Genomic DNA, 14,613 nt, shown 5'->3' on the forward strand with positions numbered 1-14,613 from the left:
CTACTCCTTGTTTTTCATGTTGATTATGTATACTGCAACTATTCTGAATTCTTTTATCAGTTCTAAGAGGTTGTTCTTAGAGTCTGTAGGTTTTTCTATATATGAAAACAATCAGGGGAAATTTATGTTTATCTTGAAAGGCCTGCTAATGATGACCCCAGGAGGGCAGAGCTTGTTGTTTCTATGAATATTCTTTCTATAACTATTCGTTAGAGTTCCTGCTTTCAATTCTTTTAGGTATATGCCCAGGTGTCCCAGCATACATGTATAGCTTTGCAAATGAGCTATGAAGTTGGCTGGTATCTCTGATTGGTCACTGAAGTTGGCAGGAACACAGAGGTGCCACCAAGATCTATGCACTGGCACCTGTGACTCCTGCCTCTTTTCTTTGTTTCTACTTAATTTGAAATGATTTAGCCTTTATGCTCGAATGATAATTTGCATAAAAATATTTTTAGTCATTCTTTCTTTTCTTGGGTATTTTATAGTCATTATTTCACTGTTTTTTAACTTCTAAATTTGCTTCCTGTTGTAGAGAACTATGAGACCATCCTACTTTAATTCAACTTGTCACAGGTTAAATCTATAACAGTCTGTCACAGTTTGTGCTCTGATAAGTGTGTGTGTATATAAGTGCTATTAACATTACACATAGATGTACATATGTACATACACATACATATTTACCCCATTGTCAAAAAATTATACCTTTTATTTTGAAGACCAATATTTTAGTAAACTATATTTCACTCTCACTACACCAGTCTTTCACGTTATTTTAATCTACAGATGCATGCGTTTTTTCTGTATCGTTAAATATAATTATTTTTCAGTCACTTTGTTACTAATATTGACTGTTAAGTCAGATCTTCTTTGCTTGTCTCACATATCATAGTCTCATTGTCATTCCAATGCTTTTTAACTCTGACCATTAACTTTTATTCTGCTTGCTTTTCTAAATTCTGTTTTTATGTTTATTACTATATTGTTAATAGTATCTATTGTATTTTATTTGAATTCAAATTTTACCTGATTTTCTTTGAGAGTTTTAAAAATTTGATCCATTTTTTATGAGCTTGCCATCTTACATTTTTACTTCTATTATTTTAACATATATTTCCTGTCTTTTATATCTTTCATTTGTACTGTTGTTTTGTAAAGCTAATTACACTGTTGTATTTAAACTTTTCTGCTAAAATATTTTGGTAAAAATTTTCGGTAAAAAATTACCTGCTTTGTGATCACACTTTTTAATTTCACATTGAGGTCTTCTGTCATCCACTTATATTTTCTATTTCTTGTCTTCTTTTTCTATTTTCCCATAGATCCTGTGCTGGTTATTTTTTGTTTGTTCCTCGTATTTGTATGACACACATTTATTTTTTAACTAATTATTTGCAAGTTGTCATTGTACTTAGGAAAGGGACCAGTTTATGTTATGGGTTAGCAGGTATTTGCTATATGACACAGGGTTAGGTGTAAGCATTTGTTTTTATTTTCCTCTGTAAGTATAGCTCATCCTGATGCTCACAATGCAATATCTGCTCACTAAAATCATTTTCATATTTTCTGCCATGATTATTATACTCCTATGTATACTCATAAAAAATATATGCATATTTCTCTAAGACATACATGGATAAATATTCATGGCAACATTATTTGTAGTAATTTCCAAGTGGAAAAAATCCATGTGGTCATAAGCTGCAAGTGGATAATTTATGATATAGTTAATAATGACACACTTGATAGCAATGAAAAAAATGAATTACCACTATATGCAACTGATCAATGCAACTTTAACAAACATAAGTGTGAATAAAAGAAGGCAGACAAAAGATACATACTAGATGTTTTATTTATATAAGGTTCAAAAACAGACAAAAGTAAACTATAATGTTAGAAGTTGTATTAGTCCATTTTCATGCCGCTTATAAAGACATACCCGAAACTGGGAAGAAAAACATGCTTAACTGGACTTCCAGTTTCACATGGCTGGGGAGGCCTCAGAATCATGATGGGAAGCAAAAGGCACTTCTTACATGGCAGCAGCAAGAGAAAATGAGGAGCAAGAAGAAAAAGCAGAAACCCCTGATAAACTCATCAGATCTCGTGAGACTTATTCACTATCACGAGAATACCATGGGAAAGACCAGCCTCCATGATTCAATTACTCCCCCTGGGTCCCTCCTACAACATGTGGGAATTCTGGAAGATACAATTCCAGTAGAGATTTGGGTGGGGACATAGCCACACCATATCATTCCACCCCATCCCCTCCAAATCTCATGTTTTCATATTCCAAAACCAATCATGCCTTCACAACAGTACCCAAAGTCTTAACTCATTTCAGCATTAACCCAAAAGTCCACAGTCCAAAGTCTCATCTGAGACAAGACAAGTCCCTTCCACCTATGAGCCTGTAAAATCAAAAGCAAGTTAATTACTTCCTAGATACAATGGGGGTACAGGTATTGAGTAAATACAGCCATTCCAAGTGGGAGAAATTGGCCAAAACAAAGGGGCTACAGGCCCCATGTAAGTCCGAAATCCAGAGGGGCAGTCCAATTTTAAAGCTTCAAAATGATCTCCTTCGACTTCAGGTCTCACATCCAGGTCATGCTGATGCAAGTGGTGGGTTCCCATCATCTCTGCCCCTGTGGCTTTGCAGGGTACAGCCCCCTTCCTGGCTGCTTTCACAGGCTGGGATTGTCTTCTGCTTTTCCAGGCACACAGTGCAAGCTGTAGGTGATTCTACCATTCTGTGGTTTGGAGGACTGTGTCCCTCTTCTCACAGCTCCACTAGGCAGTGCCCCAGTAGGGACTCTGTGTGGGGGCTCCGACCTCACATTTCCTTCTGTACTGCCCTAGAAGAGGTTCTCCATGAGGGCCCCACCCCTGCAGCAAATTTCTGCCTGGGCACCCAGGTGTTTCCATACATCTTCCGAAATCTAGGAGAGCATCCCAAACCTCAGTTCTTGACTTCTGTGCACCTGCAGGCTCAACACCACATGGAAGCTGCCAAGGTTTGGGGCTTTCACCCTCTGAAGCTATAGCCCAGGCTGTAGGTTGTCCCCTTTCAGCCATGGCCAGAGTGGCTGGGACACAGGGCACCAAGTCCCTAAGCTGCACATAGCACGGGGACCCTAGGCCAGGCCCACAAAACCGCTTTTTCCTCCTGGGCTTCAGGACCTGTGATGGGAGGGGCTGCTGTGATGTTCTCTGACATGGCCTGGAGACATTTTCCCCATGCTCTTGGGGATTAACATTAGGCTTCTTGCTACTTATGCAAATTTCTGCAACCAGCTTGAATTTCTCCCCAGAAAATGGGTTTTTCTCTTCTATCACATAGTAAGGCTGCAAATTTTCCCAATATGCTCTGCTTCCCTTATAAAACTTAATTCCTTTAACAGAACCCAAGTCACCTCTTGAATATTTTGTTGCTTAGAAATGTCTTCTGCCAGATACCCTAAATCATCTTTCTCAAGTTCAAAGTTCCACAAATCTCTAGGGCAAGGGCAAAAAGCTGCCAATCTCTTTGCTAAAACGTAACAAGAGTCATCTTTACTCCAGTTCGCCACAAGTTCCTCATCTCCATCTGAGACAACCTCAGCCTAGACCTTATTGTCCATATTGCTATCAGGATTTTGGGCAAAGCAATTTAACAAGCCTCTAGGGAGTTCCAGACTTTCCCAAATTTTCCTGTCTTCTTCTGAGCCCTCCAAACTGTTCCAATCTCTGCCTGTTACCCAGTTCCAAAGTCGTTTCCACATTTTCAAGTATCTTTTCACCAATGCCCACTCTACTGGTACAAATTTACTGTATTAGTCCATTTTCATGCTGCGGATAAAGACATACCTGAAACTGGGAAGAAAAAGAGGTTTAATTGGACTTACAGTTCCACATGGCTGGGGAGGCCTCAGAATCATGGCAGAAGGTGAAAGGCACTTCTTACATGGTGGCAGGAGGATAAAATGAGGAAGAAGCAAAATTGGGAACCCCTGATAAACCCATCAGATCTCATGAGACTTATTAACTATCATGAGAATAGCACAGGAAAGACCAGCCGACATGATTCAATTACCTCCCCCTGGGTCCCTCCCATGACACATGGGGATTCTAGAAGATACAATTCAAGTTGAGACTTGGGTGGGGCCACAGCCAAAATGTATCAGAAGTCAAAGCAGTAGTTACCATTGGTAAAGAGGTGATTACCTTTTGGGAAGGAGGAGGTAGGAAAGAAGGTCTAGTTACTCTCAGAAACTTGTGGGGTTTTTGAGGACATTGGTAATATTTCTCTCTCTCTCTCTTTTTAATTAAAAAGTAAACTTTAATGTCGAAAATGCAAACTTGGGAAAGACAGAAAAGATCACACACAAGGCTGTCACTTCACACTTGGAAGGTTGCACAGTGGCCGGGCAGTGACCCTCCTCACTTCCCAGACAGTGGTTATAGAGGTTGTCACTCTAATAATTCATTTATCCATAATTTGTGTCTTATGTAATTTTGTGTATATATTATATATTCAATTATTTAAAAAATGTTTAAAAATAAATTGGTGGACTACTGTAATAAAATAGCAAACTACAAATACATTATAAAAATATCTTTTTTCCCAATAGTTCATAATATAAACAAGAACAGCAATAACAAAATTACTGAGAAATGAGTTTAATTTTTAAAAAGCAGCCAAATATTATAAAACTGAAAAAAAAAAAAAAAAAACAGCCAAGGTCAAAAACAGACAATTCTGGAGGCACACAGAGGAACGAAGCTGCTAACCCTGACTCTTTTCTGTCCTTTCCCGGTACTCTATTTCAGAAACTTTACCTGTGTACCAACAAAATTTAGAGAATGCTCCCTAAATTCTTCAGGGCTGAAATGAATAAACTGAGTGAGTATTCTCATTTATCTTTTCTCACTGAGGAGTAATGGATTGTAGCAAACAATCAAAAACAAAACAAGAAAACAACAAAAAAAATCAAGTTTGAGTGCCTACTATGTACCAGACATAGTTCCAAGTACTTTAAATAGAGTATCTCATTTATTCCTTATAATAAATTTATTATGTTAGTATCATTATTATTCCCTTTTTGCAGTTGAGAAAACTGAGGCTAAGAGAGTTTGAGTAAATTATCAAAAGCCATACAGCTAGTAAATGGCAAAAGTTTGATTTGAACTCAGCCAATCTGATACAGGTTGAGTACCCTTTACCCAAAATGCTTGGGACTATAAGTGTTTTGGATTTGAGATATTTTCACATTCTAGAATATTTTCATATACATAATGAAATATCTTGGAGATGGAGCCAAGTCTAAATGTGAAATTCATTTATGTTTCATATACCTTATACACATAGCCAGAAAGTACTTTTATAGAACGTTTTAAATAATTTTGTGGATGAAACAAAATTTCAACTGTGTTTTTGCTGTGACCTGTCCTATGAGGTCAGGTTTAGAATTTTTCACTTGTGGTGTCTGTCATGTTGGTGCTCAAAAAGTTTCAGATTTGAAGCATTTCAGATTTTTGATTTTTAGTTTAAGAAATCTCAACCTGCACTAGAGCCCAGTTTGTAATCAGAACATTCTATATTGAAGTGACCAACAACACTGACCACTGGATAGAAGTAAATGTTCTAGAGCTATATATGTGTCACTTAGCAATGGGGACACATTCTGAGAAATGTGTCGTTAGGTGATTTCATCATTGTGCTAACATCATAGAGTGTACTTACACAAACCTAGAGGGGATAGTCTATTAAACTCCTAGGCTATATGGTATAGCCTATTACTCCTGAGCTACAAACCTGTATAGCATGTTACTGTACCTAATATTGTAGATAATTATAACACAAAGGTAAGCATTTGTATATATAAACATAGAAAATGTACAGTAAAAACACAGTATTGTAATCTTGTGGTACCACTATCATATATATGCACCATTGTTGACCAAAGTGCATGCATTATGCTGTGCTATATGTGGTGAATGGAATTTTCCTAGAGAATTGAATACACTTCTAGATACAAGTGGTATCAGGAACAAGGCATTAAACAGAACCTCAGAAGTGAGAAAGATGCCAGGACCTGTTAACAGTTCCTGCAAAACTTCTGAGTTCTTCCCTTTTCGATGTCCCCAAGCTATGAAATAAATGAACAGAACATGAAAATCTGAGCCCTTAAGTTTTAGTTTATTAGATAAAGCAAACTATTTTCAGATAGAGGGAAATAAAGAAGTCATCCACTACATTAGAAAAATAGAAGATCAGGACAGAACTATGCAAGATTCGACAGGAAATAAATAGCATAGTGGCTATATAAACATACCACTGTTTGCACATTGCATGCAAACAGCAATTAAAAACCTCAGTCCAGAGCCATGTTGGGTCCATCTACTTCAACCCATAATTCTCTTGACCCATAACTCCCCTCTAGGTATACACCCAATATAAATGAGTGTTTATATCCATCAAGAAACAGATATGGGAATGTGTATAACAGCTTATTGTTTATGCACGTTTAAGTACCTATTTCATATTTCAGTAAGTTTCAGGAAGTTTTCAATAAAAACAGAATGCTTTTAACATTTGTGCTTTAAACAAAACACTAAATAATACAAATACATTTTATTATAATTAAATACATTTATTATAATTAAATTATAAATATAATTTATTTACAATTAAGTTATAATTTAAATTATAATTAAATAATAGCAAATGAATAAAACTATGTATAACATAAGGAAACTTGGAAAAATATAACTATAGTAAAAGCTTCACTATGTATGCCTCAGAATTGAACTGATATAAGAAATATCATCTTTTACAAGAAAGAAATATATATATATAATATGGCTTCTAGAAATTTCTTCATATTTATTTCAGATGTCTCCTTTTTCCATAAAGTAAAACTAAATTTAATTCTTTTTAATTAAAAAAACACGTAATGTTCCATTTTTGAAAAGCAATTTTATTTATGCATTTATTCATCCTCCATTCATATTTCTATATATATATCAGTTATTTCTAGATAAATGTTTTCAACTTGCTTTCAGTATTTTTTTGCTTAAATTTATTTAAATTTGCAAATGCTGTTTATACGAAGTAAAGTGATTTTTACTTAAAAAATCTTTAAAAACATCCAAACTTGAATTATTTGGTAACTTACATGAGCTACATTGATGAAGAAGTTATTTTAGATCATGAATTCAGAATTAACTTTAAAATAAGAGCTTATTTTTCTGGTATCAGGTACTTGAAACACGGCTTTAGGAATCAATGTTTTATCATTAAAACTATTTTGTTTGGAGTGTTTCTAAGTTATCTTTTCCCCTGCCTTCTTAATATATGAATCACAATTTAAGAATTGATTGATTGATTGCTCAGTCTTTATTGCAAACTTTAATAATTAGACAAAGCCATATTTTCTTCAGGGATTATTGACATGTTTGTGCTTACACTAAATGGCTCCTTTTCTGTTTTATAAAACAACTTTGTGTGTTTTTAAAATCTTCTCCTTTGCTGAGACAGCTATTATTTCTTGCTTTTGACAGTATGCAAAATTTCAGCAGCCCTCCTTTTTTTAAAAATTAAATATTTAAATTTTTATTCTCATATTAATATGTTGTGAAGTTTGAAATTGTATATGTTAGATAATTCATTAAACTAGAGCTCTGTATATACATAGATGAGAATTCTGCAAAAAAGAAAATATTTCTTTAGAAATTAACATAGATGTTATGATGTCCATGCAATGTGGTGTTTCTATTTTTCTCACAGAAAATAAATAATAATAAGGAATATGGGTCCCAAAATAAAATTGTCTCATTTTAGTTAAAATGTTCAACATGCCATTTAACTAAAAATGTGTTTATAAAAAATCCTATATGAAAATTTGTACACTTTGTTGGTATACTTGATAATGGTATGTTCAGCTATGTTAGTTTACTTGATTATGGACTTTGTTTCTTAATAAACTGTACGATATGTGAGTAAAACAGTGCCTGTCATATAGTAGGTACTGAGTCAATAATAGTTTAAAGATGACACAAAATTATGACTTATAAAATGTACTGCTTTGCCATTTTATTCCAAATTCTATCTTCGTATAGACACAGCTTAAAGCTTGTAGTACTATAGTTAAAAACACACTTCTAAAGTGAAATCAATTATTGTCAATAACTTTTTATCCACTGCTCAATTTAAATTCCACTTTTTGATGTCTTTGAATTTAAAAACTTCTTACATTTGTAAACATATACTGTGATTATTCATATCGCAGTTTGTTATACTGATTAGATTCCTAAGTCATTTTTTCTTCCTTGTTTAATAAAATATTCAAGAATTCTTATAGTAAAAATCAATTCATAGTTAAATTAGATAGTGTTTCTAACTGAATAATTTTGTGACTTAGAATATTTGGAACTTCACCATACTGGCATTTTCAGGCTAAACCTGAAAGAAAGTTCCAGAAAACAGTTCAGCTCTTGGAGATATTCTAAGACATAATGATTTTTACCCCCATCAACTTTGATGATGTCAATATAGCGAGGTCATAAAATTATCAACTGTGAGAAAATAATAATTTTGCTGGTGAATATCAACAATTGGAAAAAACCAGTAAAAAAATGGGTGGATCAATGAGCAAGTTAAAAATTGTTTATCATAAAATGAAAAAATATTAATATTAGAGTTGAAATTTACCATGAAAATCTGTGGTCTAATCCCTAGCTTCGATTCACATAGCAGTATAATTTATAATCTCCCCAGGGATGTGGAAATCATTATCACTCAATACAGCTGATTCAGTTTTTATACAGCTAAACTTGATCTTAATTCTGTATACTGAGTCAAATTCTATGTCACGACGATGGTCCATCATTTTATCATATTAAGTCCCCTTGGGACAGACATAAATGATTTAATTGCTCTTCAATTGTCTTTTAAATATTTAAAGACTGCTTTTGTGTGACATCTGAGTCTCCTCCAGGTTAAACAGCAATAATTGCTCCACCTTTTCCTCAGAGAAAACTTTTTTTTTGACTTTTTTCTTTTTTTCCTCCGATTGTGTTCTAGTTATCTACGTCTCTATTAGAAATGAAGAGAAAAACTAAAAACAACAATAATATTGCTAATGGGTATGACCAGAGTAAAACCTAGCAATATAGATCACACATATTCTAGGATTATATTAGACATTTTTTTAAAAACAAACACTAGATTTTCTCCATCATTTGGGGCTTTTGTGTGGTGAGTCTTTGTGTCTTTTTCACCTGAAGTGCCCCTGACATGTATTTCTCATTAAGTGTAGCTTTTGTTTTGTTTTTCTTGTTTTTAATCTAGCTATAACACAATATCACTTTAATTTCACACAGATTTGGCTCAGTTTTTTGAACTGTCTGACCTATGTCTGAACTAACTCATTAGTTTAACAAAACTGTCCTTAATTCTTACAACAAGTTGGATGCATGTGATTCAATGTATTAATTCTCTTCCCACATTTAGGTAATGTCCACCTGTAAGTATTATGCATGCTCTGTCTCTCTTTAGGTTATTGATAAAAATATTGAAGAGAACAGGGGCCAGGACAAAAGAGAAAACTTAGGAATCCCATGATAACTCCTTTCGGGACAAGATTAATCCATCATTAATAAGCTTTTTTAAAGAAAAACATTAAGCCCAATACAAATTGACCTATCTATATTATCAGAGTCCACATTCCCATCTTATACCATATACTCTCAAGTGAAATACTTGGCAGAAATTCATTTATATGCTATCTCTATTCTTCCCCCTTATTTGCCATATTTTGCACCTCCTTTAAAAGAGAAAAGAGGCCGGGCACGGTGGCTCACACCCGTAATCCCAGCACTTTGGGAGGCCGAGGTGGGTGGATCATGAGATCAGGAGATCGAGACCATCCTGGCTAACACGGTGAAACCCCATCTCTACTAAAAATACAAAAACATTAGCTGGACGTGGTGGTGGGCGCCTGTAGTCCCAGCTACTTGGGAGGCAGAGGCAGGAGAATGGTGTGAACCCGGGAGGCGGAGCTTGCAGTGAGCCGAGATAGCGCCACTGCACTCCAGCCTGGGTGACAGAGTGAGACTCCGGCTCAAAAAAAAAAAAAAAAAAAAAGAAAAGAAATTGCATTGGTTTTGTAAAGTTTATTTATAAGGCTTTCAAGATATCATAACTTCCCTCTATTTTTGGACCTGTCTTTTGTTTAACAATCAGTAAAATACTTTTTCCTGAAATTAAATTGAGTGTGTCAATAATTTCTGTTTTATTCTTTTTCTTGGAAGATCAGAAACATATTTGCCTATCTTGGTAATTTGTCCTATTGTTCTATATTAATCAGAGTTTATAAAAATTTATGTAAGTATGTTCAGCAACTACACCTACCAATTCTCTCAGTAATTTGAGATGTAGATCTTTGGGCCAAAAACTTGAGTTAATTTCATTAGGTGTTCTGACCATTTATTTTACTACCTGGGGTTTTCTTTTTTTTCTTTTTCTTTTTTTTTTTTTTGAGACAGAGTCTCGCTCTGTAGCTCAGGCTGGAGTGCAGTGGCGCTGTCTCGGCTCACTGCAAGCTCCGCCTCCCAGGCTCATGCCATTCTCCTGCCTCAGCCTCCCGAGTAGCTGGGACTACAGGCGCCCGCCATGACGCCCAGCTAATTTTTTGTATTTTTTAGTAGAGACGGGGTTTCACCGTGTTAGCCAGGATGGTCTCGATCTCCTGACCTTGTGATCCGCCCACCTCGGCCTTGCAAAGTGCTGGGATTACAGGCGTGAGCCACCGCGCCCGGCCCTGGGGTTTTCTTTTACTCCTGCAAATGTTTGTTCCACTTTCCAGTCTTAAAATTATCACTGACAAAAAGCACAAAAGAAAGTCGTTTCATATTTTTTCCATTGTCTTTTGCCATCACATCATATTTCTGAACAAAGGGGCTACCTCTTTTTCATCAAGTGGTTCTAATATAGCTTCATAACACTCTTCAATATACCCACTCATTTAATTTCATTCTTGGAGCTAATATCTTAACATTATAAGTAAGAACTCTTTTTTCTCTTATAATTATTAAAGTATACAATTATTGAATATTTATATTCAAATTACTATCTTCACAATAAGACTAAAACATAAATTATATATAATTACATATATACATTATTTATTCTAAAGTAATTTACAACTTATATGTTGGGAACAGGCCCCAAAATCTGGCCATATACTGGTCCCAAAACTGGCCATAAACAAAATCTCTGCAGCACTGTGACACGCTCGTTATGGTCTCGACGCCCATGCTGGAAAGTTGTCCGTTTACCGGAAAGAGGGCAAGGAACACCTGGCGCACCCAGGGCGGAAAACTGCTTAAGCCATTCTTAAACCACAAAGAATAGCATGAGCTATCTGTGCCTTAAGGACATGTTTATGCTGCAGATAACTAGCCAGAGCCCATCCCTTTATTTTGGCCCATCCCTTTATTTCCCGTAAGGAATACTTTTAGTAAATCTTATGACTGGCTTGCTGTCAATAAGTATGTGGGTAAATCTCTGTTCAAGGCTCTCAGCTCTGAAGGCTGTGAGACCCCTGATTTCCCACTCCACACTCTGTATTTCTGTGTGTGTGTCTTTAATTCCTCTAGCGCTGCTGGGTTAGTGTCTCCACAACCGAGCTGGTCTTGGCAAGTGGTGCCCATACGTGGAGTCTCGAACCCAGGTCAAAGGGTCACTGGAGCGACGGTTGGAGAATGTGGAACTAAGCTGGAGGACACCTGAGTACTCATAAGCAATCCCTGTGGTGAGGGGAGCTTGGAAGCATCAGGGTAACAATGGGACAAGTGTGGGCTCTGGCTTGTTCTACGTTGGAACCTTTTCACACTAATAATAAAAGGAAGGAAAGTATAATGAAATAACAGAAGAGATGACAGAGCAGGTTTGTTTGCCAGCTAAAGCTAAAGCAGCAAAGGAGGAAGAGGTTCATCCCTACCCTTCTGCACCCCCTACTTATTTTGAAGAAAAAGAGTGGCCTGACCCTCCAGAGCTTTCTTTTCCGGAGGACACTGGGCTGTCTAAGCCATTTGAGCTCCTTGTGGGAGGGGTAGCAGCCAACACTGGGACTGATAGCTGCCTAAGATCCCAGGGTGGGGAAAGGGCGGCAGCCATCTCTTCAGCTTCAGGCCATGCTTTTCCCCTGCTGGAGCCAGGGAGGCTAGACAGATTGGTCCCAAGAGGTATCCCCACAGCCCAACACACTGGCTTTGGCAGACTGTGACCAGAGTGCCTCTTCAGGCCCAACCCTGACCCATCCCTCCTTACTGGGCAGGGCCTCCCTGCAGGAACTTCAACAACTCTAGCCAGGGACTCAGGGACAGAACTCTGATCTCCCTGGGTATGAGCCTCTAGGGGGAGGGGTGGCCATAATCTCCACAGACCAGCATAGTTAGTCTTTCCTCCTGCTAGTCTGAGGAATCTGGGCAGCCCAGATGAGTGGGTTTCCCCCCAGTGAAGCATACCCCCTCCACCAAGGGATAGTCAAAGTGCTTCATTAAATGAGTCCTGCTCCCATGCCACCCAACTAGGTGAGACCCTCCAACAGGGGTTGTCAGACACCCTATGTAGGAGCATTCCTACTGGCATTGGATCAGTGCCCCTTGAGGTCAGAGATCCCAGAGGAAGGAGCAGGCACCCATCTTTGCTGTTCTCCAGCCTCCTCGAGTGACATATCCACATGCAGGAGTGAACCAGAGGAATAGGACCTGAAGTGAACCCCCAGCAAACTGCAGTAGCCCTACAGAAGAGGGACGTGACTATTGAGAGAAAAACAAACAGAAAGCAGCAACAACAACATCAACAAAAAAAGTCCCCACCAAAACCCATCCAAGGGTCGGCAGCCTCAAAGATTGAAACTAGACAAACTCATGAAGATGAAAAAGAGTCAATGAAAAAAAAAATGCTGAAAACTCAAAAGGCCAGAGTGCCTCTATTCCAAATGATCGCAACACCTCTACAGCAAGGTGCAGAACTGGACAGAGAATGAGATGGATGAAATGACAGAAGTAGGCTTCAGAAGGTTGGTAATAACAAACTCCACTGAGTTAAAGGAGCATGTTCTAACCCAATGCAAAGAAACTAAGAAACTTGATTAAAGGTTACAGGAGCTGCTAACTAGAATAACCAGTTTGGAGAGGAACATATATGACTTGATGGAGCTGAAAAACATAGCAAGAAAACATTGTGAAGCATACACAAGTATCTATAGCCGAATTGACCAAGCAGAAGAAAGGATATCAGAGTTTAAGACCATCTTGCTGAAATAAGGCATGTAGGCAAGATTAGAGAAGAAAAGAATGAAAAGGAACAAATGAAACCTCAGAGAAATATGGGACTATGTAAAAAGTCTGAACCTACGATTGATTGGAGTACCTGAAAGAGACTAGGAGAATGAAACCAAATTGGAAATCACACTTCAGGATATTATCCAAGAGAACTTCCCCAAGTGAGCAAGACAGGCCAACATTCAAATTTAGGAAATTCAGAGAACATCGCTAATACTCCACGAGAAGATCAAACCCAAGAAACATAATCATCAGATTCTTTAAGGTTGAAATGAAGGAAAAAATGTTAAGGGCAGCCAGAGAGAAAGGCCAGGTCACCTACAAAGGGAAGCCTATCAGACTAACAGCAGACCTGTCAGCAGAAACCTAAAGCCAGAAGTGAGTGGAGGCCAACATTCAACATTCTTAAAGAAAAAATTTTCAACCCAGAAGCTTCATAAGCAAAGGAGAAATAAAATCCTTTTTAGACAAGCAAATGCTAAGGGATTTCATCACCACTAGGCCTTCCTTGCAAGAGCTCCTGAAGGAAGCAATAAATATGGAAAGAAAAACCAGTACCAGCCACTGCAAAAACACACCTTAGCATAAAGACCGAAGACACTATAAAGAAACTGCATCAACTAGTGTGCAAAATAATCAGATAAGATCATAATGACAGGATCAAATTCACACATAAAAATATTAACCTTAAATGTAAATGGTCTAAATGGCCCAATTAAAAGACACAGACTGGCAAATTGGTTAAAGAGTCAAGATCCATTGGTGTGCTGTATTCAGGAGACCCATCTCACGTGCAAATACACACATTGGCTCAGAATAAAGGGATGGAGGAAAATTTGCCAAGCAAATGGAAAGCAGAAAAAAGCAGAGGTTGCAATCCTAGTTTCTGACAAAACAGGCTTTAAACCAACAAACATAAAAATAGACAAAGAAGGGCATTACATATTGGCAAAGGGATCAATTCAACCGCAAGAGCTAACTATCCTAAATATGTATGCATCCAACACAGGAGCACCCTGATTAATAAAACAAGTTCTTAAGAGACCTACAGAGAGACTTAGACTCCCACACAATAACAGTGGGAGACGTTAACACCCCACTGTCAGTATTAGACAGATCAATGAGACAGAAAATTAACAAGGATGTTCAGGACTTGAACTCAGCTCTAGATCAAGTGGACCTAATAGACATCTACAGAACTCTGCACCCTAAATCAATAGAATATACATTCTTCTCAGTGCCACATGGCACTTATTCTAAAATTGACCA

This window comes from Homo sapiens, chromosome 6 (genome assembly GCF_000001405.40).
Source record: "Homo sapiens chromosome 6, GRCh38.p14 Primary Assembly".
NCBI classification, from domain to species: domain Eukaryota; kingdom Metazoa; phylum Chordata; class Mammalia; order Primates; family Hominidae; genus Homo; species Homo sapiens.